The sequence below is a fragment of the Homo sapiens genome, chromosome 1, assembly GCF_000001405.40.
Source record: "Homo sapiens chromosome 1, GRCh38.p14 Primary Assembly".
In the NCBI taxonomy this organism is placed as follows: Eukaryota; Metazoa; Chordata; class Mammalia; order Primates; family Hominidae; genus Homo; species Homo sapiens.
Window position 1 is genome coordinate 48078946 of NC_000001.11, and position 27283 is coordinate 48106228.

The 27283-nt window shown below is 43.6% G+C and overlaps 1 long non-coding RNA gene and 2 pseudogenes across 7 annotated transcripts in view, besides 1 other annotated feature; 2 read left to right on the forward strand and 1 right to left on the reverse strand.

Moving 5' to 3' along the window:
• Positions 1 to 27283, forward strand: part of LINC02794 (long intergenic non-protein coding RNA 2794) — a 131616-nt gene that overhangs the window by 29175 nt on the left and 75158 nt on the right. For 4 of the 6 annotated variants that reach the window (XR_007066068.1, XR_007066072.1, XR_007066070.1 and 1 more), the window contains 4 exons: positions 5002 to 5087; positions 12675 to 14294; positions 18159 to 18291; positions 21712 to 21907. This is a non-coding gene — a long non-coding RNA (long intergenic non-protein coding RNA 2794). Of the gene's footprint in view, positions 1 to 5001; positions 5088 to 12674; positions 14295 to 15098; positions 15462 to 18158; positions 18292 to 21711; positions 21908 to 22195; positions 22815 to 27283 lie in introns of those variants that run through there. The other 2 variants (XR_007066073.1, XR_007066071.1) reach the window with 2 other exon arrangements.
• On the forward strand, positions 10408 to 10889 carry CYP46A4P (cytochrome P450 family 46 subfamily A member 4, pseudogene; annotated as a pseudogene).
• Positions 13561 to 14760: an enhancer, noted in NCBI's record as "BRD4-independent group 4 enhancer chr1:48558178-48559377 (GRCh37/hg19 assembly coordinates)". NCBI's record gives its function as "activates an origin of replication core promoter dependent on BRD2, P300/CBP, MED14 and CDK7 cofactors, and independent of BRD4, by STARR-seq in HCT116 cells {active_cell/tissue: HCT116}" and the evidence as "EXISTENCE:reporter gene assay evidence [ECO:0000049][PMID:35650434]".
• Positions 22770 to 27283, reverse strand: part of SKINT1L (Skint1 like (pseudogene)) — an 80714-nt pseudogene continuing 76200 nt past the window's right edge. Inside the window, exon 10 of the transcript NR_026749.2 lies at positions 22770 to 23005. The product of NR_026749.2 is annotated as a Skint1 like (pseudogene) (transcript). The remainder of the gene's footprint in view (positions 23006 to 27283) is intronic.

Genomic DNA, 27283 nt, shown 5'->3' on the forward strand with positions numbered 1-27283 from the left:
CCAGATGTTAGGGCTGGAACCCAGCTCTTCTGACTCCCCATCTGATGTTCTTTATACTACATTATGCTGTCAGTCATGTCTTTAAGGTAGAAGAGAAGGGTAGAGAATTATGAAACAGAAAAACCTAAGAAAAGGAAAGCGAAGGGAAAGAAAGCATTTCCACTCAAGTTGAGAGAGAGACAGATAGTCAGAAAGACAGACAGACAGACACAGATATAGAGAAAGACAGAGAGACTCAGGACTGGGACCTAAGAGGAATTAAATCCAAAACATACTATGTTACATGACAGACAGCCTGAGTGTTACTTCAGAACACTGAGAACTCTCCCCTCATCGTGGGCTCAGCAGTGCCCTTGACCTTTATCCATGTGGGTCACAGCATGAGTAACCTTGGTAAAAATGGGGAAGCCTCAATTTCCACTAGAAGCCAACCTCTATTGCCTATTTCAGCCTGGCTAGCAAGGCTTTGTTTTCCTCATAACCTACACAATGGTGTCACTACTACCAACACTACCCTTTCCAGCAGTTCAATTACTACTATAAAAGTTCATATCTTTCTAATGCTTATTATGTGCCAGGCACTGTCCTAGTATTTTACATGCATTAACTCAGTTAATCCTCATAGCCACCATCGTTTTACAGATGAGGTTAAGTAATCTGCCTGTGATCATCCCATTGGTAAAGAGAGGAGCAGCAGCACAAAGGCCAGACATCTCTCTCGGGTTAAAGCCCAGCACAAGCTGTCCTCATGTCTCACTCTGGCCTTTCTCCTGCTATCCTTTCAGAGGTCACCTTGTTTTCACTGAATCGAAACAGATTCTTCCATTTTATTCTGATGTGCTTTAACCACACTTCCTACTCCTCCATGTCTGCAAATATCCAAATAAAATACCGTTCCAGGCCCTGTGCTAGGGGCTGGGAATGCAGATATGAGAAATGGTGCAGTCTAATAGGGAGGCTGACATTTAAATGGAACATTACAAAGTAGTTCTTTAAGTACTAAAGAGAAGCATGACCCCAGCACCTGGGGAGTTAGAATAGGATTCACAGAAGAGGAGGAAATATTTCATCTGCCTCTGAGTTGAGTAAATGACCACCAGAAGAGGGAGGGAACAGAGAGTGCAGGCTGAGACATGCTGGTGCAAAGCAGGATTTGGGGGGAACAAGTGGGGTTTACAATGGAGAGGGGCAGAACGTGAGACTGGAAAGGGCTTGAGGTCAAGATGTAAAAGATTTGAAGACCAGGCTAAGGGCTGGCTTTGTCTCCGTGATAATGCTTTATTGATAATGATCATGAATGACAGACCTGGCTGACCCCCATATTGACTGACACACAGAGGAGCTGATTGGCTGATAGAGGTATGTGTCAAAACTTCTCCATAGCAACAGGGAGTATATTGGAGCCATTTCTGTTGAAGGCCCAGCCCTGCTACGACAGAGAAAATTCTCTTTCTGCCCTCAATTTCCTCCAAGCTGAGACTTCCTTGCTTCTGGCTGCAGATGATGCTCCTGGCTCTGGGATACGTTGGGCCAAGAATTTCTGCCAGCCTTCTGGGCTTCTTATGAAATCAGACATTTGAACGAGGCCCCAGTTTCCCAACACACGCCTAAATCACTTCCACTGTTCTGAAACCTACTCCATGTATCCACCACTCACCAGAGCTAGAGGGGTCTGCAGCCAAGCTGGGAAGAATCAGACCTCCGAAACTCTGAACCGTGGGAGACCAGGTTCAGAGTTGCTAGGACTTGCTAGGACCAAGTTTGCAAAAGGCCAGGCAGTCCCACCCTTAGCCCTGGGAGGAGAACTTCCTAAATGTACAGCCACTAGCAGTTTAATAGCTCTGGGGCCAGCTCATGTACATAAACTCTCAGTTTTATTTTGATATTTATAGTCACTTGTAAAATAAATAACACACTTGATTGGAGGTTGTTAAGTTGGTGCTCACTGCTTGCCAAGGGCCTGGGAAGCCTGCTGGGGTGTGACCACTCTGGGCATTCTACAGAGAAGCTTGATTGCTCTTCCTTCCACCCTGAGTCCACAGCACTCTTTCCATGTGGTGTTGTTCCCACCTTAGACCTATTACTCCCTCTCATAGGCTCTCTCAGAGCTGGCTAAGGCCTCTCTGACTTCCTTGATTCCAGAGCCTCTGAGAGGGAGTAGGAGATACTCTGGCATCTCCCACTGAATTAGAAGCCTGGTGTTTTAGAATCTAAACATCTTTCAAGCTGAGATTATTAATGTCCAAGGATAGTCAGATTATAAATTGTGAGAAACTTGGAATTCTAAACTATCTGAAACAGAAATAGGGGGCACTGAAATATCAAATGATAAGAATTTCAGAAGTGAGGAGCTTAGTTTGAGTCTAGGCCTCTGTCCTCCATTAGGTTTAGATGAGGCTAAACAGATGTAGCTAACTGGTGTGTGTGTGGTGGAGGTAGGGGTGGGAAATGGCCAGGTAATGATTGGCAATAGGCAGGTAGACCTGGCTGAAGAGTGGGGAAAGGTGGAAGCTGCAGAGAGGAACAGAAGGTGCTGCATTCTCACTGACCAAATGTGTTCATAAGGACGTGAAAGATACCTATGAGGAATTTGGGAACCCTGGGGGCAGGAGCCAGTGAAAATTTGAGCTATTACTATTATGTAACCTCATTTAACTCAAGTTAGTTAGAAGTCTGGACTTTTAGGGCTTTAGAATTAAGACTCAAAGAGCCATGAATGGACTCATGCCTGTAATCCCAGCACTTTGGGAGGCTGAGGGAGGTGGATTGCTTGAGCCCAGGAGTTTGAGGCCAGCCTGTGCTAGCCGTCTAAAAAAATAGACGGGCATGGTGGCACAAGCTTCTAGTTGCAGCTACTTGGTGGCTGAGGTGGGAGGATCACTTAAGCCTAGGAGTTTGAGGCTGGAGTGAGCTATGATCATGTCACTGCACTCCAGCCTGGGCAACAGAGCAAGACCTTGTCTCAAAAAAAAAAAAAAAAAAAAAAAAAAAAAAAAAAAAAAAAAGAATTCAGACTCAAAGCCTTTTAGGCTACCAGATATTTAGACTAGAATCTAGACTAGTAAAGATGTAGATTAGAATCTTAGAATCCTAGAATTCTAGGATAATATAACTTAAGGGTCCTAGTAATGTATCTAGTCTTTTTCCCAGTGAAATAGGCTGGGGTTTGGAGACAGTCTGGGATAAAGAAGACCTACTGTGGGCTATTGCAGCTTTATGAGTTTCACAACATCCAAAGTTGAGCTGGACCTGAGGAGCAATGAGGGAGGGAAAAGCAGCAGCACGTGGTTACCATTAATGATAGATGTAAGACAGGATCTTGATTTAATACTTCTTAGTGCAATTAAAATAAAATTAAAAGAGATGCCCCACTTAATATTCCTACCTTATGCAGAGGGAACGGAGGTCCAGAGAAGGAAAGTAGTATGTCCAGTTTGGAATAATCAGTTAGTGACAGATCAGATCTGGATGTGGGTCCGTGTTGCTTGGCTTCCAGCCAGTTATTTCCTTTTCACTGGTCTGCTCCTCCTGGACTGAGATCACTCATTGCATTCTCTTGACAGCTTTATGGGAAGCAGTTAGTGTATCACTGGCCTGTTTAGAAAAATAAAGGACAATGAAGAAAGGAAATGGATTGTGTGATGGGAGCGCTGGGCAAAATTCATGAGTTAATTCAGGATGAGGCTGTGAATTTTACCCTTCTCCAGCCCAGTTCTGTTTTCCTGTCACAGACCAACTCCTGTCCTTGATGGGCTGAACTGGCTAGTCCCAAAGTGAGGCTTCAGTCTAGTCACAGACGGACCCTCGGCCTTGGCTGAAGACTGAGCCTTGACTTCGATAACAAAATAAGATAAAGCATTTAATGAGAAAATGAGAACACAGGCCATATTTCATACTGAGCAGAATACAGGTCATTTTCTGTACTGAGTCAGATCTTCTGGTGTAGGGGAAAGACAGCAGGCTCTAGGGTCCCCTGGAACAGAGCCTCCTGGTTTCATGAAGAGGGAGTTTCTGAGAAGAAGGCTTTTTCACTATGCACATTTCAGATTTCTCTGCCCCTGTAGATGAGAAGTGACATCTGATTGGTGAATTTGGGAAGAACTTTAGGGCATGTAAAGCACAGTTCTGCTACTTTCTTTATCTTGAGGGCTGTCTGTCTACAAGAAGCACACTTTCTGCTCTTGCTCTTGGGTCTTGTCCTGATAGCCAAGGATGGCCTCATATAGTGCTGCTGTGCTTGGTTGGGAAAGTCTGCCTACTTAGGGGGATGATTTAGCTGTACTATGTCATTCAGGATACCTTTTGAACCAACATCTCCCAAACTGCGGTAAAAGTTAATTTCTTTTTTTTTCTTTTCTTTTCTTTTTTTTTTTTTTTTTTTTGAGACAGTGTTTACCCTGTCACCAGGCTGGAGTGTAGTAGCAGAATCAAGCTTACTGCACCCTAGAGCTCTTGGGTTCATGTGATCCTCCCACCTCAGCGTCCCAAGTAGCTGGAAGCATAGGCACATGCCACCACACCAGGTTAATTTTTTGTATTTTTTTGTAGAGATGGAGTTTTACCATGTTGCCCACGCTGGTTTCAAACTTCTGGGCTCAAGTGATCTATCTGCCCATTTTGGCCTCTCAAAATGCTGGGATTACAGGCATGAACCACCATGCCCAGCCTAAAAGTTAATTTCTTGCTCATGTCACTGGAAGATGTGAAAAGGGTGCTCTGCTTCATGCAGTCATTCAGGACCCAAGTTCCCTCCATTGTGTGGCTCTGGCATCTTCTAGAACAGTGGTTCTCAACCAGGGATGATCTTGCCACAGATGGGGCATTTGGAAACGTCTAGAAACATTTTGGTTGTCACAACTGGAGAGTGGGGAATGCTACTGGCATCTAGTAGGTAGACACCAGAGATGCTGCTAAATATCCTACAGTATACAGGACAATCTCTAATAAAGAATTATCTGGCCTAAATGCCAGTAGTGCTGAAGTTGAAAAATCTTGTTCTAGGGCCTTCTTGGATCATTCAACCAGCAGATGAAGAAAAAGAGGGCGAATGGAGAATTATATGTCAGAGAATTTTATGGATCTTACTGGTAAGTGATGTGTAACACTTTTGCCCACATTCTACTGGCCAGAACTAAGTCACATGACCACATACAAGGAACAAGGCTGGGAACTGTGGTCTAATGATGGCCAGCAAGAAGAGGAAGCAGGTTTGCTGAGCGTCTAACCACTCTCTGCCATAAGACCCATTTGTCTCCAACTATAACCTGTAAAGGTGCTGTTTTGGCCTCCATCTCTATTCTCTTTTATTTCTTAAATCATTCAAATTTAATCACCCATGGATTAAAATACTGAGTAGGGCAAACTGCTTTAACTCTTTGGTCTTCCCTTTGCTAATCTACAACACAGAGTTAATACAAATGACCTCCCAGGGATTGTTGGGAGGGTTTCTCCTGCTCTGTTGCTCTATCTGCATTCTTAAAGGTGATCCCTCCTTCTTCCAACCAAAATAAGACTCTGAGGTACCCCATTCCAGAAAAGGAAGTTTCATCCTGATCATGAAACTCAGTTCTCAAAGAAAGAAAAATGAATATGTTTGCAGGATTCTGAGACATCTTGCAGTTACTCAGAAATTTTCTCTGAAAATAAAAATGGCTACAGAAAAGAATCCTTGACTGAGGGGTAGAGGGGCACTTGACTTCTAGTTCCAGTCCTGCCTCTGAATGGCATATGTAGGCTAGGACACATTCCTTCCCTGGATCTTAGGGCTCTTGTTAGAGAGTGGGCAAGGTGATTTTTCTGTAGCTCTAAGATCCACTGTAAGTTTCTCTGTTGCTTGAATTTCCCTCTCCCCCACCAAACTAATCTCTTTCTTGGCATCAGTACGCACTTAAAGAATAAGATCTTGTTTGTAAGGGAAGGGCACAGTGGAGGTGGGTGGTTTAATGACCACCTCCTCTCCTAGGGAACCAGTTTGCAGAGAGAAACCTTCAGGAGGTTGTCATAAATAACTAGACCCTTATCCTGACTTCCTCAGAAGGCAGTCAGAGCAATGATTGATGTAGCCCATTTGGGCAAGGTTGGAAGGCCAGGAGAATGCTCACTGGCAGATCTGCTTGTAAAGTTTCACATTAACCACAACTGGGCTGGGTGTCAGCGTCTCGGACATCCTTGCAAGGCTTGCTCAAGAGCCTCAAAGACGAGGCAGAGAATTTCATGCCAGGTTAGAAGTGAGAGGTCAGTTTATGGGAATGAAGAGTAAAGGATAAACTCTAGATAACAGTTCAGAGAGAGAACCTTCTCTCTGAACTGTCAAATCTTTTCACTTCCCTCGGCCACATCAGAAAATGAATAATTGTCTTGGGCCAAATATAAAATACATATAAAATACTCATGGTAGCCGATGAGCTAAAAAAGAAAAACTCAAAAAAAATCTCATAGTGTTTTAAGAAAGTTGACAAATTTGTGTCGGGCTGCATTCAAAGCCATTCCGGGCTGCATGCAGCCCATGGGCCTTAGGTTGTACAAGCGTGTTCTAGAGTTTCCTATGAGACCCTTACAAGGATAGTTTTTCTCCCATCTCTCTCAGAACCTCCAGAATACGGCAGGCATCATTAAAACCTACTCTAATTGACATGATGTGTGCATGATTTAAATATTTAATTACTTTTGGTCAAGAGTAAACAATTGTATGTTACAAATTACATTCATAGTAGAAAAATATGAGACATAAAAGAGTTTTCTATGTTTCCTTCATCAGCAACACTGAGTGCTGAAAGGAGGAGCAAAAAAGGGAAAAAGAGTGTGGTGGAAGAAAGCCTGAGACGAAACACTGCTGCCTTCCCTATCTGGCTGCCCCAACTCTTAATTCTCCCCAAAGAGAAGTCATTAAAGATTTACTGTCTTAGCTTGATAGGCAGCTTGAAGCTTTCTGGACCCATGGCTGCCCCTACCCACTTCCCACTTAGAAAGCCTCCTCCTCTCGCAAAGCCTGAGCCAGTCAGCAAGACTCCCTTTCTCCTGAGTTTTCTATCTGAGCAGGTGGTTGTTCTCCTGAGTTTTCTATCTGAGCAGGAGGTTGTTCTCCTGAGTTTTCTATCTGAGCAGGAGGTTGCCCTGCAGCTGCTAACAATCAGGGTCAGAAATCACCTTTGGAGGCAAATAAACATCCCAGGTATGCCTAATCTTCACCGAAGCTTTGAAGAACCACCCACTCACTGCCCCCCACCAGTCTGCACAAGAAGATAGGTCAGGAGAGGGACAGAAATTTGTTATAGTCATTTCAGAAAGCGCAATGTTTGTAGAGGGGATACTCCCTTCTCATGCCCATCCCCCTACTTCTCTCCTAACTTAATCTAAGTCGGGGAGGTGGTTCCAAGAGAGAGCTCTGTAGAGATTGGGAGCACCTACAGGAAGTGGGGACAGGGAGAGGTTCATTTCCTGGTTAGAAGTTTGCTGATGTTCAGAATTTGCAGGCCCATCCCTATTAGGGCACAGTGGAACTTAGAGGGAAAGTTCTAAGAAGAGCTTAGCCTCTCCAAAATTCACTGGAATTTGAGGGTACACATGAACCAGAGATTGAGATTTGCTGTTGCTTCTTTTTTAAAAAACAACCTTATTGAGGTATAATAGACATATTACACATATTCAAAGTGTGCAGTTTTACAAGTATTGACATGTATATACACATCTAAAGCCCTCACCACAATGAAGATAGTGAATAGACCCATCATCCTCACTTTTATTTGGTAAAAGTTTGCCCCTTTGTGATTACTCCCTCATCTCATCCCCCACCCACCCTTCCCAGGCAACCATTGATCTGTTTTCTGTTGTTATAGATTAGTTTGCATTTTCTGGAGTTTCATATAAATAGAATCATACAGTACACACTCTTTTCTGCCTGACTTCTCTCACTTAGTATCAATAATTTGAGATTTACTCATATTGCTGCTGTATGGTTTCTTCATTCCTTTTTACTGCAGAGTAGCATTCCATGGTATGTAAATACACTCATGTATTTATCCACTCACCTGTTGATGGACCTTTGAGTTGTTTTCAGTTTGGGGCTATTACAAATAAAGCTGTTATCCGCATTCATGTACAAGTCTTGTATGAACATATGTGCTCATGTATTTTTAGTTGGAATGGTTAGATCATATGGTAGCTGTAGATTTTGAGACCGCCAAACTATTTTTTCTGAAGTGGTTCCATCATTTTACATTCCCATTAGAAGAGTATCAAGTTGAGATCCTCGCCAACACTTGGCATGATCAGTCTTTTAGATTATAGCCATCTTAATAGGTGTGTAGTGGTTTTGTGGTTTTAAAATTGCTAAGGATGATGAGCACCTTTTCATGCGCTTATTTGCCATGCATATATATTCTTTGGTAAAATGTCTCTTCAAATATTTTGTCTATTTTTTTTATTGGATTGCTTGTTTTCTTTTTATTGAATTTGAGAGTTCGTTATAGATTTTGAATACAAGTCCTTTGCCAAATATATGCTCTGCAAATATTTTGACCCATTCTGTAGCTTGTCTTTTCATTTTCTTAATAGTGTCTTTTGAAGTATGAAGTTTTAAATTTTGATAATGTCCAATTTATCAAAATTTTCTCTTATGGATTGTACTTTGATGTTGAATCTAAAAGACTTTGCCTATCCTGTGGTCACAAAGATTTTCTCCAAAAAATGTTATAAATGTATGATTTACATTTAGATCTATAACTTAGTTTGAGTTAATTTTTTATATACAGTGTGAATTATGAATTGGACCCTCTCTTTCTGTTTTGTTTTGTTTGCTTACATACATCCAGCTGTGTTAACAACATTTATTGAAAACACTGTCCTTCCTTCCTTGAATTGCTTTTAAATCTTTGTCAAACATCAGTTGTCCATATGTGTGTGGATCCATTTATGGACTCTGTATTCTGTTCCATTGATCTATTTGTCTAGTTTGATTCTAATGTCACACTTTGATTACTTTATAATAAGTCTTGAAATCAGGTAGAGTTATCCTATCAACATTGTTCTTTTTCAGAACCGTTTTAGTTATTCTAGGTCTTTTTTATGATCACATGAATTTTAGAATCAACTTATCAATTTATGCCATAAGCCTGCTGGGATTTTGATGTGGAATGCATGAATGTATAGATCAATTTGGGGAGAAGTAAAATCTTAACCATGGTGAGTTTTCTGATCCACAAACAAAGAATGTCACCATTTATTTAGAGCTTCTTTGCTTGCTCTCAGTGATGGTTTGTAGTTCTCAGTGTATAGGTCTTTCACACCTTCTGTCTGATTTACCCCTAATTGTTTAATATTTTTTTTTGGTGGATGCTATTGTAAATATATTTTTAAATATTTTATTTCTGATAGTTTGAGTATCTGATATGGAAATACAATTGCTTTTTATATATTGACCTTATATCCTGCAATCTTGTTAAACTTATTAGTTCTAATAGATTTTTGCACATGCCGTTATTTTCTACATAGACAGTTACATCGTCTGGGAATAAAAAATGATTTTATTCACTCCTTTCCAACCTGGATTCTTTCTATTCTTTTCTTTCCTGACTGCACACATGGCTAAAACATCCAGAACAATGTTGAAAAAATTGCTGAAAGTAGACATCTTTTTCTTATTCTTGATATTAGAGGGAAAACATTTAGTCTTTACCATTAAATAAAATGTTAGCTGTAGATATTTTTATTGACTTTTTAAAATGAGAAAGTTTTCTTCTATTCCTAGTTGGTTGAGAGTTTTTATCCAGATTAGTTGGATTTTGTAAGGTTGTTTGATTTTGCTAAATGCTTTTTCTTGTCTCTGTTGATATAATCATGTGGGTTGTTTTTTTTTTCTTTTCAATGTGTTAAAATGGTGAATTACATTGATTTTTCTTAAAAAATTTAATTGTGATAAAAACCTTGCATAACAAACATTTTCTATCTAAACATTTTTAACTGTGCAGTTTATTAAGTATGTTCACATTGTTGTGCAAAAGATCTCCAGAACTGGCACTGATTTTCGTATGTTAAACTAACCCTGCATTCCTTGGAAAAACTTCACTTGGCCATAATACATTATCCTTTTTATCTATTGGATTTAATTTGTTACATTTTAATATGGATTTGATTTGCTAAAATTTTGTTTAGAACTTTGTATCTGTGTTTTTGAAAGATATTGGCTTGTAGTTTTCTGGTATTGTCATTATCGGGGTTCAGTGTCAGGGTAAAGCTGGCATCAAATAATGAGTTGGCGGGCATTCCTTCTTCAGTTTTCTGGAAGAGTTTGTGTAGAATTAGTGTTATTTCTTCTTTTAATGTTTGGGATAATTCACTAGTGAAGAAACTAGAGTTTTCTTCATTAGTGGGAAAGTTTTTTTTGTCTGTAAGTTCTATTTTATTAGTAGAGACCCGCTGACTTTCAACCCCTATCGCTTTGGCCCCGGAGCACCCAAGCCACGGTTCACCTACTTCCCCTTCTCCCTGGGCCACCACTCCTGCATCGGTCAGCAGTTTGCTCAGATGGAGGTGAAGGTGGTCATGGCAAAGCTGCTGCAGAGGCTGGAGTTCCAGCTGGTGCCCGGGCCGCGCTTCGGGCTGCAGTAGCAGGCCACGCTCAAGCCACTGGACCCAGAGCTGTGCACCCTGCGGCCCCGCGGCTGGCAGCCTGCAGCCCCACCTCCCCGCTGCTGAGGGGGCCTCCGGGCAGGATGAGACTCCCCGGGCAAGGGCCGTGCTCGTCCACCTCTGCTGTCCACGGCGACCCACCCTTCTCCCCTGCCCTGTCCCCTGGGCCACCCTTCATGCTGGCTTCTAGCGGGCCCTCTGCCGACCGCCTGCTTCACACCCCTCAGCGCTCCCTGTTGCCTGCGGACTCCACGGCCCTTCCTGGACTGGCCCTTGCTCAACTCCCAGCCACCATTGTCCCTACCACTGAACCCTTGCACAGGCCACTTCCTCAGACGAGACAACCTCTCGTTCACTCCCTAAAGCCCTCTTCAGGTGTCACCTCCTCCAAGAAGCCCTCCTCGCCACCCCCAGCCGGGTCAGAGGACCTTCCTCTGTGCTCCCTCGGTCACCTGTGCTACCTCTAACACCACTGACCACACTGTATCGTGAGTGTCCATTGACGTGACCAATTGCCCTGCCAGGCTGTGACGGCCTCAATGGTAGGGGCTGCATGTGATTCGTCTCTGAGCCCCCTGTGCCCACCCAGGGCCCGGCACAGAGTCGATGCTCAATAAATGTGTGTTGACTGCAAAAAACAAAAAACAAACAAACAAACAAACAAACAAAAAAGAAAAAAACAAGTAGATACAGAGATGCTAAGGTTATTTCTTTTTGACTGTGCTTTCATAATTTGTGTTATTTAAAGAATTGGTTTGTTGAGTTGTCAAATTTATAGGTATAAAGTTGCTCATAATATTCTCCTTTTTTTAATATAAGGGAATGTGTGGTAATGGCACCTGTCTCATTCCTAATTTTGTAATTTGTGTCTTTTTTCATATTTTCCCTGATCAACTTGGCTGGAGGTTGGTCAATTCCATTGATCTTAAAAAAATCATCTCTTGGTTTCATTGATTTTTCCCCCTACTGTTGTACTATTTTCTATTCCATTGATTTCTGCACTGAATTTTATTATTTTTTCTTCTGCTGTTTATTTTGCCATTATTTTTAATTGCTATGTCTTCAAGTTAGCCATCCTTCTGCCATGTTTAATATATCCTTAATCCTACTCAGAGTATTTTTCATCTAAAACATTGTAGTTTTCATCTCTAGGTTCTATTTGAGTATTTTTGAAATCATCCATGCCTCTACTTAACTTTTGAACATATAGAGAACAATTATAATAATTATTTTGACATCTTAGCTTGACAATTTTAAATCTGTTTCAGTTCTTGGATGGTTTTGATTGCTTGGTTATTCTCTTTGTGTTTTCTTGCTTCTTTGCATGCTTGGTTATCTTTGATTAGATGCCAGAAATGGTCACTTTTACCTTATTGGGTGGTGGATCTTTTTGATTCTTATAAATCTTCTTGAGCTTTGTTCTGGGATGTGTTAAGTTGCCTGGAAATTGTTTGATCTTCTTGGGTCTTGCTTTTATGATTTATTTGGCATATCTGAGCAGTCTAGGGCTAATTATGCCCCACTACTAAGCAAGATTTTCTGGGGTACTCTACCCAATGCTCATAAAGTATGATTTCATTCAGCTGTCAGAGGGGGGAATATGCAATATTCCCAGCCCCGTGTGAGCATCAGACAATGTTCTTTAATCTTTTCAAATTATTTTTCCTCCATCCTGAAGTGTTACTTCACATGCATGTGCTAATCAGGACTCTGTTGAATATCAGAGGGGGATGCTCTGCAGATAGTCAGGGCTCTTTCTCTGCACATCTCTTTCCTTTTATTACTTTGTCCATCCATGAACTCTAGTCCACTTGGTTTCCCTAACTCGCAGCCTTATTACCTCAGTTCAAGGATCCTACTGGGCTCCTCTCAGACTTTCTTCTCTGTCCCGTAGCCTGCATAGTCTCTGAAGGCAGCAAGCTGGGGCAGTCATAGGGCTTACCTAGTTTGTTTCTTGTCTCTTAGGGAGTAACTATCCTTTGTTGTCTTAGGTCTAGTGTCTTGAAAATGGCGTTTCTGACATTTTATCTTTTTTATTTTGAATGCAGGAGGGTAAATTCAATCCTGGTAACTTAATTGTGGGCAAAAGTGCAAATCTCCTGGCATCCAATTCTTACCATAGATTTCTGATGTCTGGAAGCATGGTGGAGCAACACACTTCTGAAGGGACAGCAGGTGCTGTAGTGAAGTTTTCCACAAAAGAAGAAAATGTTGTGCTCTTTGTCTACCTCACCAACTTCCCTTCAGCCCTTGGGGAGTGTAGAAGACCTCCATGTTCATCAGGGCTCCATTTTAAGGAGAGAACAGAAGTTGGAGGATAAGGTGGGAGTTCTGATTGATGTGGACCAGATAAGGTGACATCTGGCCAAAGAGGAAGCTGGGAGCCACAGACTGCTAATAGGATGAAGGGAGACACAGCTACCCCTCTGTGGGGTCATCAGAGATGGAGGGGGCTGGCATAAAGATGAACATCTGCGTCCAAAACCATATAACTCCATACACCACATCATCTAATAGGAGACCAACATATTGTCAGAGGCCGCCAGCAACAGAGGGAAGCAGGTAAAGCCAGTGTAAGATCAGGAGCCTTTTTCCACCAATGACAAACAGCCACTTATTTAGAGCGATCTCTGTTATTCCTCTTATTTTCCCTTCTTCCCTCAACATGAAAGGCACTAGACCCAGAAAAGAAAGGAGAAAATTAGAAGACAAGACCACAACCTTTTACCACCCTTGGTGTTTTTTTTTTCTTTTTTCTTTTTTTTGACAGTCTCACTCTGTTGCCCAGGTGCTGGAGTGCAGTGGCGTGATCTCGGCTCACTGCAAACTCCGCCTCCCAGGTTCAAGTGATTCTTGTGCCTCAGTCTCCCAAGTAGTTGGGACTACAGACATGCACCACCATGCCCAGCTAATTTTGTATTTTTTTTGTAGTGACAGGGTTTCTCCATGTCCCCTTCCCACTCTCGTAACTTGAGGTACAAGTCTGGCAAACATTGAAGCGAGACGAGGAAGTGCTATTGAAACTGGATATGAGATGGGAGTTGTGAACTAGACCAGACGGGACTTTTGGTAACTGATATCGATGGGAAAGCAATGGGATCTACCTGAAAATATCATTAGAAAATGATACTGACAGATAGGACAAATCATGGTTAACAGTTGTGGCTAGAGTAAACAAGTTGAACTGTTTATACCTATACCGCAATGGATTGAGGCTTCTCAATAAACTGGTTACATCTGATCTGCTAACAACAGCTGCTAAACATTGAAAGGGGTACTGTGCTGACTGCTGTATACACACTATGTCATTTGCTCTTCACAACCTATAGGATGGGCACTAGTTTTTCCCCCTTTTGGCAGATGACAGAAACCGAGGCACAACCAACTTGTCTAAATATAGATTACAGAAATTTCACATGTATCTCTCCAGTTCACAGGAAGTGTCATTCTCCTTAATCACTTTGCTCTTATCCTTGATGTTTTTCCAAACATTTTTGCTGATGTTGAGTGTTTTCCATTTCTCTGAGCTGTGTTGTCAGTCCATCTCCTGATGAAGCAAGGGCAGTTTGAATGCTGAATGGAGGTGGATGAGGAAGGGGAACACTACGTGAAAATATTTGTTTTACACAGATGAAATGTTGGATCAGAACGCACGGAACTACATCCAGGTGAGAGGCATCAAATAAATCACTTAACCTCTTTGTACTTTAGTTTCCTTATATGTTTTTATGGGCATCATGATAGTGCCTACTTCACTGGGCTGGCGCTGGAAATGAAGTGTGATTACAGATGAAGCTGTTAATCAGTGTCTGGCACACGGTCTGCTCTATCCGAGGATTAACCGTGTTTATTATCTGTCCTTTATTACTAGTTAAGTTCTCTTCACCACTGAAAGAAAAAGTCCAAATGAACCCAAACATATGAGTTTATTTTCTCCTCCACATTTTCGCTGCCCCTCCTTCATTACTCTATCCCCATCACCACCCCAAGAAATTAGATCTTTGCATAGCAGAAAACACTTTTCCCATTCATAAGAGAAAGAATGGGACTTTTTTTTTTTTTTTTTTTTTTTTTTTTGCTATTCCAAGAGAGAACCCACATTTGACACTGGATTTCCACCCAATTTTTCTAAGTGCACCTGTGGTTACATTGCTGGAGGTGTCAGTGTGAGGATTTAAGCCCAGCTGTATCTGACAGCTGGTTACCCAGATGAGAAACCCCAGAGTCCTCTTCCACCCTTTGCAGTGAGCTGCCTGGACCTGCAGGATCCCTGCAGTACCTTCTATGTGCACCAGGTGGCAGGTGCTGCATCGGAAACGCAGGTGCGGCAGCTGCACAACTGGTTCTACGGGTGGATCTGAGCACCGGGCTCACCTGGGAGATTTCTAATAATACAAATCCCCAGGCTCCGCCCCTGAGATTTTGACGCCGTGGGTTTGGTGTGGCGGCCTGGCATATGTGTTTTTATAAAGCCCTACAGGTAATTATGATTCAGCTTGGTGCAGGGACCTGCGTTTGGAAGCCGCTGCTTCAGAGTGTTCCAGAGAACGGCAGCCTCACGCAAGCATGAAGCGTTTAACTGTGCAACACAAATCAACAACCTGGGCTCCTAGAATTCAGGGTGAGGTTTCACAGAGTGTCAGAGTTGAAAAGGATCTTGGGGCTCACTGATGAAGCATTAGCGACGAGGAGCCTGAGGCCAGAGGGAACGTGCCACGGACAGCCTGAGCTACAGTGCAGGTCTCCTCCCTCCTCCGCAGCACTGCTGACCACGGCTTTCCGTGGTTATAATACTGTCACTTCCCCGCTAGCCCAAGGATCTGAAAATACTTTTGGTAAGCCACGGGAAGGACCCTCCTCCCTGAGTCAGTACCTTTAACTGCTGTTGGAACAACTCCAAGCCTCAAATAATTCAAAACTGTGTGAAACACGTTTTTGCCTGAATTAGGGTTCACACCGGGTGGCCTTTGTCCAGAGGCCATGTTTATTTATTTATTTATTTATTTTTATTTTATTATTATTACACTTTAAGTTTTAGGGTACATGTGCACAATATGCAGGTTAGTTACATATGTATACATGTGCCATGCTGGTGTGCTGCACCCATTAACTTGTCATTTAGCATTAGGTATAGCTCCTAATGCTATCCCTCCCCTTCCCCCCACCCCACAACAGTCCCCAGAGTATGATGTTCCCCTTCCTGTGTCCATGTGTTCTCATTGTTCAATTCCCACCTATAAGTGAGAACATGCGGTGTTTGGTTTTTTGTCCTTGCCATAGTTTACTGAGAATGATGATTTCCAATTTCATCCACGTCCCTACAAAGGACATGAACTCATCATTTTTTATGGCTGCATAGTATTCCATGGTGTATATGTGCCACATTTTCTTAATCCAGTCTATCATTGTTGGACATTTGGGTTGGTTCCAAGTCTTTGCTATTGTGAATAGTGCCGCAATAAACATATGTGTGCATGTGTCTTTACAGCAGCATGATTTATAGTCCTTTGGGTATATACCCAGTAATGGGATGGCTGGGTCAAATGGTATTTCTAGTTCTAGATCCCTGAGGAATCGCCACACCGACTTCCACAATGGTTGAACTAGTTTACAGTCCCACCAACAGTGTAAAAGTGTTCCTATTTCTTCACATCCTTTCCAGCACCTGTTGTTTCCTGACTTTTTAATGATTGCCATTCTAACTGGTGTGAGATGGTATCTCATTGTGGTTTTGATTTGCATTTCTCTGATGGCCAGTGATGGTGAGCATTTTTTCTTGTGTTTTTTGGCTGCATAAATGTCTTCTTTTGAGAAGTGTCTGTTCATGTCCTTCGCCCACTTTTTAATGGGGTTGTTGTTTTTTCTTGTAAATTTGTTTGAGTTCATTGTAGATTCTGGATATTAGCCCTTTATCAGATGAGTAGGTTGCGAAAATTTTCTCCCGTTTTGAAGGTTGCCTGTTCACTCTGATGGTAGTTTCTTTTGCTGTGCAGAAGCTCTTTAGTTTAATTAGATCCCATTGGTCAATTTTGGCTTTTGTTGCCATTGCTTTTTGTGTTTTAGACATGAAGTCCTTGCCCATGCCTATGTCCTGAATGGTAATGCTTAGGTTTTCTTCTAGGGTTTTTATGGTTTTAGGTCTAACGTTTAAGTCTTTAATCCATCTTGAATTAATTTTTGTATAAGGTGTAAGGAAGGGATCCAGTTTCAGCTTTCTACATATGGCTAGCTAGTTTTCCCAGCACCATTTATTAAATAGGGAATCCTTTCCCCATTTCTTGTTTTTGTCAGGTTTGTCAAAGATCAGATAGTTGTAGATATGCAGCGTTATTTCTGAGGGCTCTGTTCTGTTCCATTGATCTACATCTCTGTTTTAGTACCGGTACCATGCTGTTTTGGTTACTGTAGCCTTGTAGTATAGTTTGAAGTCAGGTAGTGTGATGCCTCCAGCTTTGTTCTTTTGGCTTAGGATTGACTTGCAAATTATGAGTGAACTCCCATTCACAATTGCTTCAAAGAGAATCAAATACCTAGGAATCCAACTTACAAGGGATGTGAAGGACCTCTTCAAGGAGAACTACAAACCACTGCTCAATGAAATAAAAGAGGATACAAACAAATGGAAGAACATTGCATGCTCATGGGTAGGAAGAATCAATATCATGAAAATGGCCATACTGCCCAAGGTAATTCATAGATTCAATGCTATCCCCATCAAGCTACCAATGACTTTCTTCACAGAATTGGAAAAAACTACTTTAAAGTTCATATGGAACCAAAAAAGAGCCCGCATCGCCAAGTCAGAGGCCATGTTTTAATAGCTCTGCAGCGCGGCCTCCCTGCCATCCATGACTGTGGGGATGCTCGCCCCTGTCTCCCAGCCCTGGTGCATCCCCAGCCCCATGCTCCAGTCTTCTCACGGTCCTTGGGCATATCAAAACGTCTCTGAGCCTCCATTTCTTCTCTGTGAGACAGGGGTGAGGATTACTTGAGAAAATGTTCAGCATTTCTGTGTGTAACTGTCGAAAAAAAAAACCAGAGCTTAGTTTTCCTCTGTACTCTGTCTTTCAACACTTTTAATTTGGACTCTAGCTTTGCAGAGGCAAAGGTTCTCAGAAAATCTATAACCGAAACCCCTAACTTTATACTCGAGCAAACTGGGTCCAGAAAGCTGAATGATTTACACAGGGAGTTACTGTGAGAGGAGAATTGGCATGTAGGTGTCCCGATGTCCAACCTTCTGCCCTTTCTTCCGTATCACAATCACGCAGTCCTGGGGCCTCTCCGGTGGAGCCTCTTACTATCATTATTCTGAGTAGTTCTGATGCTAACTGGTGTCTTCCCCTTCCTCCTTTCCTTTCAACAACATTTAGTGAGCACCTGTTTTATCTTGTGCCCTATACTTGGTTTCTGTTAGAGAACCTTGCCTTACCTACTGTAAGTATTAAATACATCTTTGACGGTGGTTTAATTAATCACATTTATTCATATATTTAGTGATAAGCACTTGCTTTGTGCTAAATCCTTTTTAGGGAGGCCGCGAGGAACACAAGGGGAGCAGATAATGACATGGTCCACAACACACTTAAGGAGTTGGCAGAGTTTGGGATCAGGGGATTCTGCGCGTGTGTGGATAATCAGCATTCAGGAGAAGGTGTAGTGCACGTAAGTACTGGTGTGTGCACCGTGGTGGCAGGAGGTCACTTTGGTTTGGGGCTGGAAGGCTGGGAAGTCAGACCCTGCACTTTCTCAGTGTAAACCCTTGATCCCCCTTCTCCTTTAGCCTCTCTCATGACTGGTTCTGCAGGCTTCTGTCCTGGACCTTCTCTTCTCACTCTATGTGGTCTTTCTGGAGCATCATCCATCTTCCTGCCTCAATAATCATCTAATTCTTGATGGCTTCTAAATCTGTATCTCCAGAGGAAAGTGTTTCTCTGAATCTCAGACCTTTACATCCCACTGTTTCCCGAATGTCACTGATTGCATAACCTGTCACTTGTACAGAACTGAACTCCTCTCCCCTCCAATCTGCTTCTCCTCAGTGAGCTCAGAAACCTGGAAGTGGTCCTTGACTCCCCCACTTTTCTTTACTGTTCCACCACCCCAGTAATAATGAGGTTCTTTAAACCCCAGAATCCTGGAAATCTAAACAGCCCTGTCACAGATTCCTTTTTCTCCAACCCACCTTTTCTGCCACTGTCAATCTCTGGGTACAATCAAGATTCACCAGCATTTTTGTAACAACTTTTTACCCAACTGGTCTTCCTATTTTGAGTCATGCTCACCTATGAGTCCTCCAAATTGGACCCAGAGAAGTCTTATATAAAATAAAACAAACAAATGGAGCCCCTCCATCACTTACAGCTCTTAGAGTGTCTTCCCTCTGCTCCTAAACTTCACACTCCTGTAAGTGGCCTCTGCAACCTGTGCTATGGATTGAATTGTGTCCTCCAGAAATGTACATTCAAGCCCTAACTCCTCATACCCCAGAATGTGAGCTTATTTGGGAATGGAGTTGTTGAAATGTAATTAGTAAGATGAGGTCATGCTGGAGTAAGGTGGGCTCTTAATCCAGTATGACTGAAATCTGTATAAAAAGAGGGAAATTTGGACACAGACATAGGAATAGAGGGAGGACAGCCATGGGAAGTGAAGGCAGAGATTGGAATTATGCTGCCACAAGCCAAGGAACACCTGGTGCTGCTTCCAGAAGCTGGAGGAGGCAAGGAAAGGATTCTTCTTTCCAGAAAGGCTTTGGAGGGAGCAAGCCCTTGCCAATACCTTGATTTCGGATCTCCAGCCTCCAGAACTGCGAGACAATACACTTCTGTTGTTTTAAGCCACCCAGTTTGTGGTAATTTGTTATGGCAGCCCTAGTAAATGAACATAAATTGTCATGATCCAAATACCAGGTATCTTTCCAGCCTCCTCTGCAGTCATGTGCCTCAATTCACCCTGTTATCCCAGGCACACTGGATTATGTACAGCTCTTGAAACACACTGTGCACCTGCACGCCTTTGCTCATACTGGTCTCTGGTGGAAGGCTCTTCCTCTTCTCTGTTTGCCCACCTTCTCCACAACTTCTTCCTTCTGCTCCTTCGGCACCAGATATGTGAACAACAATTCTTGTTCTGGCCTCCTTGAGAGCAGGGACTCTGCTTCCCTCTTCTCCATCCCTGTTGCTTTAGCACTGAGCTGACCTAGCATAATGCTGCAAGAATTGATCTGAGTTGGGTCACATGTTCTCCCACAGTTTATGATGTTGCTGGGTGGTGGGATTCAAAATGCTCATTCCTCCCTCCTCACTGGATTTCCAAAGAGGGGTTCACCCTGATTTCACCACCCACTAAAATCTAATTAACCACAGGGCATGAATTCTTCTTGGAAACCTCCAAACTGCCAACTTCTTCTCCCTCATGCTGTTGCCAAGGCTCTCGAGTGGGCTTGAAGGAAGGAAACGTGGACAAAAAGATTTTGCTCGTTTCTTTGAGGCCAATGCCTAATCACTGTCCCTCTTCAAGTGAAAAATGGGGAAAACACTAGCTAACTGTTGTTTAGTGACCCCAACTCCCACCCCTTTAAAATAAACACTCTTTTCAATTAGGAAGATTTGTCACCGGGGACAGTAATTCCATGTCCTACCAAAACAAACACAGTTGTAATTAGTTTTATCCAGGAAGAAAATTAACTCTGTTTATCTTAGCATAATTAATCACTGACCTCTTTCTGTCCGGGCAGCTTCGGGGAGGGCACGGGAGTGGGGGGTTGTGATCTACTGCACAGGGGCGTTCTGGGCTCCATCTATCTCTCGTGTTGGTTACACAGCTGTCTGCGTGAGTTATTTGAATTAATATTCCTAGCCAAGAGTTGTGGAGCTGCCTCAGAGCTAGACTTGGAGAAACCACTAAATAAGGCTATGATTTTATGGCTTCAGTCTGTGGAGAATTTTAGATGAGTACATATCAGATGGGCATTAAGACACGCGGCCGACACTGAAGTTTGCTTGGCTCCTTTCATGCCCTTCACCTTGACCTCAACAAGTCTTGAGAAAGGGGAAGGATCCTCAGGCAAAGGCATTGGTCCTTGGTTATGGAAGAGAGGCTGTTCTTGCAGTGAGGAGGGACAGGCTTTGGGGCTATGGTTTGGGTGTCAGTCTTTTTTTTTAAATTTTTTTTTATTATACTTTAAGTTCTAGGGTACATGTGCACAACATGCAGGTTTGTTACATATGTATACATGCGCCATGTTGGTGCGCTGCACCCATTAACTCGTCATTTACCTTAGTTATATCTCCTAATGCTATCCCTCCCCACTCCCCCCACCCCACAACAGGCCCCGGTGTGTGATGTTTCCCTTCCTGTGTCCAAGTGTTCTTATTGTTCAATTCCCACCTATGAGTGAGAACACGCAGTGTTTGGTTTTTTGTTCTTGCCATAGTTTGCTGAGAATGATGGTTTCCAGCTTCATCCGTGTCCCTACAAAGGACATGAACTCATCCTTTTTTATGGCTGCATAGTATTCCATGGTGTATATGCGCCACATTTTCTTAATCCAGTCTATCATTGATGGACATTTGGATTGGTTCCAAGTCTTTGCTATTGTGAATAGTGCTGCAATAAACATACGTGTGCATGTGTCTTTATAGCAGCATGATTTATAATCCTTTGGGTATATACCCAGTAATGGGAAGGCTGGGTCAAATGGTATTTCTAGTTCTAGATCCTTGAGGAATTGCCACACTGTCTTCCACAATGGTTGAACTAGATCCTCTAGCTATATGACTGTGGGCAAGATACCTCATCTTTCTGAACCATAGTAACCTCCTAAGTGAAAAACAAAAAAAAAAAAAAACAAAAAAAACAAAAACCCAGGATGTGTGTGCATGTGTGTAGTGGGGTCAGGGTTAGTAATATATATCCACAGGGATGAATAAGGATTAGAAGTGAGGTATGCTATGTCCCTAGCACAGGGCCTGGTACTAAATAGTAATTCAGTGAACACAGGTAGGTTTTGTTATTTTTGCATGAACTGACTGAGGTTCCGGGGGTGGAAGGACGCAATGAATGTCCTCTCTATTTCAATAGACCCACAACTCATGGAGACCCTACTGTGTGCTGGGCTCTGCATTAGGCCATGGAAATAAAAAGAGGGTTTAATCCTGGCTCCTGTCCTCGAGGAGCTCACAGCCTACTGGAGAGAGAGAGACATACCCGGATATTCTCAATGTGTTGCAACAAATGCTAAGCTGGAGACATGGGCATGAGATCCCCTGGTAGAGAGGTAAGCAGAGACTGAAGGGATGCTGATTTCACTTTTTCTGAGCCATTTAGTCAATGTATAATTCCTCACTTAATCCTCATGATAACTCTAAAAATAGGCATGAGGGAGGGGGTCCCAGGGAAAGGTAATTGAGGCTCACAGATGGTAAGTCATTAGACCCCAACTGCATAGCTAGAAAATGGTGCAGCTGGGATGTGAATCAGATTTGTTTGACACGGGAGCCTGTGCTTTGTCAGTTTTCACCTTGGAGGTCCTGGCTGGGTTTTAATGACTGGTATCCTTCCCCAGGACCTTGAGTCAGGAGCATTAAAGCAGCAAGGCCCTGAGGGCTGGTGTCAGGAGACCCCAGAGTTAACAACGCAGCTTCTTGAGCCTCACCTCAGGCTCTTCCATATTAAAATCTCTTGCAGGAGGATAATTTTAAGCAACTACAATACCTAAGGTGATTCTTATGTTCTCACCATCTGCTATAGTTTTAAAAAACCTACCTTTTGCTCATGATGTTGAGATAGCTACTCCCACACAAGTGTTTGCAGGTGGGTGGGGAGAGCATGTCCTCTAGGTAACAAGAAAAGAGAACTATGAAATCAAGGAGGCCCACATCCTGAACTGAGAGGGATGAAGAGGGGAGGTGAGATGGGCCAGGACCCCTTGAGAGTGGCCTAAATAGCTCACACTGGGGTGAGTGTCTCTGGATGCCAGAGGCAGAGTGGTGGACCGTGCACCTGTTGTGAGCACAGGCCACTCACTCCCTGTCCATAGGCTTGTAACAGTGGGTTCAGAAGCAGGAGAGAACTGCATAGGTACTTTCTTGAAGCAGAAGAGGGCTTCAGGCTGGGAGGCACATACTGCTCACTGTAGACAGGGAGCAAGGCAGCCTTTATTGATGCACAGGTTGCTGGGAGGTTGTGGGGCTTTTGTCCTCTCAGATCTAGAAGAGAACTGGAGCCAGGAAGAGTCAGTTTCTGGTGCTGTGAAGGACTCCAGGGAAGGAGCAACCAAAAAATACTGAGGGCACTGAGGCTGGTTTTTCCAGGCCATGGTGATGCCTGGTCCTGCAAGAGTGGTCACTCAGATGGCAGGGGGACTCCACACATCCTGAGATGGAGAGAGAAAGTGAGATGGGCTATCAGCAGAGGCTGAAGAATCAGGCAGAATTGTATTCTATGTCCCACCTCTGCCTCTGCCAGTGACAAGCTGTGCAAACTTGGAAACCTTTTTTTTTTTTTTTTTTTTTTTTTGAGACGGAGTCTTGCACTGTTGCCCAGGCTGGAGACAGTGGTGTGATCTTGGCTCACTGCAGTCTCCACCTCTCAGATTCAAGTGATTCTCCTGCCTCAGCCTCCCAAGTAGCTGGGATTATAGGTGCCCGCCACCCTGCCTGGCTAATTTTTGTATTTTTAGTAAAGATGGGGTTTTGTAACATTGGCCAGGCTGGTCTCAAACTCCTGACCTCAACTGAACTGCCCCCATCGGGCTTCCAAAGTGTTGGGATTAGAGGTCTGAGCTACTGGGCCCGGGCAAACTTGGAAACATTTTTTTCCTTCCTAGTGCCTCAGTTTTCTCAAATGTAAAATGGGAATAAAATATCTACCTTGTAAGACTTTTGTGAGGGTCTAATAACTGTTATATACATTATCTCATTTAATCTTCACAACAACCTTTAAAATAGGGATACGATCATTCTCAATTTACAGTTGAGTGAAAGTGAGGCAGTTCAGATGGCTTGACTAAGGTTACCTGGCATTTGAGTGGCAGAGCCAAGATTTAAACCCAGCTCTGTCTGATGCTAGACCCTTTGCTTCAACCATATTCTGTAATGTCTCATTTCTAGGAATGAATGAAGGAATGTTCACACATGTATCATCCAGCCTCTGAGGTGCCTCTGACAACCATAATTGCCTCCTCATGAAACCGAGCCCAGTTCCTCCTGTGGCTCTTCCTGCTGCAGCCGTGGGCCTTGCTCTCCTGGCTGGAAGCGCTGTTTTCATCTTATCTGGGGATTCTCATTGCTGACGGTGCTGGAGGCTGTGGGGCACAGTGGTTTCAAGCACAGGCTTTGGAGTCAGGCAAACCTGGGTTTCAATATGGCTCAGGAAGCTGTTGGGCAGGAGGACTTTTGGTGAGCAGGCACTGTCTGATAATGGTGTTTCCCAGGATCCCAGGTTTCTTGGGGGCACACAAGTAGGCCAAAGATGATCTGGGAACCTCCCAGAGAATTGCCTCATACTGTACTCTCCCCAAGAGGCTGCAGCCAAGAGAATAGGGGCCACGTCACGGGGGCTCATGATGGAGTCTGGGCTTTGTGGGAAAGGAAGTGGGGAGGGTCTCAGAAATGTTTTTACAATGTAAAATCTTCCAGTTAGAACTTTATATGCAGGATTTAATCAGAAGGAAATTTGGACAGGACTCATTTTTCTCATTGCTGCTCTAAGTGGCTGCTCTAAGCAGTCTGGACTGTCTCCCCTGTGGCTTTGTTGAGTTCAGTAAACATTTATTGTGCACATACTGTGTGCAGGCACTTTGCTGGGGATACAGGGATGAAATAGGGACAGTGCCCATGCCTGAGGGCATTGCCCTGAAGCTGGATGCTAAGGCCATCTGTGTGTGTGTCTGTGTGTCTGCATGTATCTCTGTGTCTGCGTGTGTCTCTGTGTCTGTGCTTCTGTGTCTATGTGTATGTCTGTGTGAGTGTCTGTGGGTCTCTTTTTTTGTGTTTGTGTGTGTATCTGTGTGTGTGTTCTCTGTGTGCCTGTATGTGTCTTTGATGTGTGTTTCTGTATGTGTCTCTGTGTGTGTCTATATGTGTGTATCTGTGTCTATGTATGTGTGTGTCATTTTGTTTGTTTCTGGGTGTGTCTACCTCTGCGTGTCTCTGTATACCTGTATCTCCGTGTGTGTGTCTGTGTGTGTGTATTTGTGTGTCTCTGTATGTGCGTCCGTGGGTGTGTGTCTGTGTGTGTGTGTGTGTGTATTGAGAGGGAGGGAGAAAGAAAGGGAGCGACAGATGGGTCAGCATGGAAGGTGTATCCTCATTCACAGCCCTGGGAGGAATCAGTCAATCCACCTACTGGTCAAGACCAACTCTGGTGGTGCCTGGCTGACAGTGGGAATGTGACTTTTCATTTAAGAATGGGTTTGCATTTCCTAGGAAAAGAATGTAGGAGTTGGAGTCTCAAGGAGTGTTTTTTTTTTCCTTTTGTGATTGAGAGAGCACAGCCTTGTGTGCATTGGCTGACAGTTACCAATCTGCGTGTTGGGGATAGCCACAGAGAAGAGACAGAGGGAACCGCAGACAGTGAGCAGGAGTCTGGTGGAACCAGTCTGCCTTTAGGCCCAAACCCCCAACTATGAATACCTCACCTTAGGGAGCTCAGTCTTTTGTTTGTTCATAAAAAACCAATCTGGGAACCAGAGGTGGACAGGAAAGAGGAGGCTGACCTGCTGCTCCCAGGTTAATGTGATCTTGGCTGGTGTTGACAAGTGTATTATGGTTCATAGCATAGCACAAACCCTTAGAGATTCCCCTTGCCCTCACCGGGGTCACCACACCAAACCAGGTATCTTCAGGAGTGAGGACCACAAAAAATTGGAGATCTCACCAGGGTGGGCAGAGATTTCTTTGTTAAAGTCTGAAGGAGAGAAGACTCAGGGGCATCTCTCTGGCTCCAAATCTCTGAAGGGCCAAAGGCAGAAGTGCTGGGGGAGTGTCAAGTTTTCATTTACAACAGGGACAGCCTGACAGTGGCTGCCTTATGTGGCAGTGAGTTTCAGTCAACAGTCAACAGAGGCCCAACGACTACTCACCAATGGGACCAGGTGGCCATAGAGGGCTGGGGAGGGCAGAGCAAGGACCCTGCAGGTCACCGCAGGCTCCTGCCTCAGATCCTCTGACTGAGGGATGATCTGGTGAAGGATTGGTGACAGACAAGGCCATTTGAGGCAGTGTTCATCATATCCTTGGGACATGTCAAGGCTACAACTTGACATTTATAGGCTGGTTTCTGCAGGAGAACCTACATCATGAATTGCTACCCATGGTGGAGGGGTGAATGCTCTGCATCTCAGGCCTTCCTTGCTCTATGTGGCTTCTCAGGAAAAGGAAAGAGAATAGGATGAGGATGAAAGAAAGCAGGGAGAAAAGGAAGGGGAGGGGCTCTCAGAAGATGGAACTCCAGCTAGTTGGGCACTTGCTCTGTTCCAGCACTTATATTCTTGGCCACATTGGATCTTGGTACAACCTTCTGTGGTTGCTTTATAAGTGATGGTCCAGGCGAACTCTCAGCCAGTGAAGTCCTAGGTGTGCCTGTCTGTCAAGCCTGTTGTATTTGGTGTACCCCATGGCCTTCTTCAGGTGGGCAGCACGGTGGCTCAAGCCTGAAAGGTCACTCAGAGTTCATTTCTTACAGCCCTCGCCCACTCCCTGCAGGCCCTGCCTCCTGCGATCCACTTGCCCTCTGCTTGATTTGTCCAATCTGTGGATTTATAGAAAAAAGAGTGGGGTGCTTGGCTCCCTCCTGTGGTTAGAGCAGTCAGAAGCTGTTGCTTGCAGGAAGCCTTGCCTTTTAGGAGTGCTAAAAAGATCACCACAATGGAAAAGATTTGGCAGAGCTAAGACATAGGGGGATATTCCAGGAATGGGGTTATCTGGCACATAGTAGGTACTCCACACAAGTCTAATGAATTAGTGAATGAAGTAGAAACCTGGAGGCAGGGGTAGGCTATTGAGGGAAAAAGGAACCAAGGCAAAGAGATGTTAAGGCACAGCATCCAATCAGGAAGGGTGCCAGCTGGGGCAAAATACCAGGCTCTGGACCCAGCTCTCCAGCCATCCCTGGGAACCCTGCACCAGCTATCTCCCCTGTGGGGCTAAAGCCCCCTTGTACAATCATGGGGTTGATGTATATGGGTGGTGCTCATTCCGGGCTGCACTTATTAATCACCTGGGAGGTTTTCAAAAATGATAACTGGGCCCTATAATTACAGATTTTGATTTAATAGGTCTGAGTTGGGGCCTGTGCAATGCATTTTTTGAAAGCTCCCAGGTGATTCTGGAGTGCCTCTGAGGCTAAGAACCAGGCGTGGGTTATTTTTCTGAATGCTTCCAGCTCATACTGCTTGTGATTCAGAGCTTTTTTTTTTTTTTTTTTAAAGAAATTTCACTAAATTAAATTTGTATCCTGTGCTAGTAGACTATGTTATTTCACCATTAGGACAATGGGCTGATATTTGTCACCAATAAATCTAAAGATAGATCTTGATGTTTGCAACCATAAGATGATCCCCACCATAGGCAAGGGGAATATGATTTATTCCCCATGCCTCTAATGAAATTAAGCGTGCGTTATAAAGAAAGATGCACTATTGAGATACAAA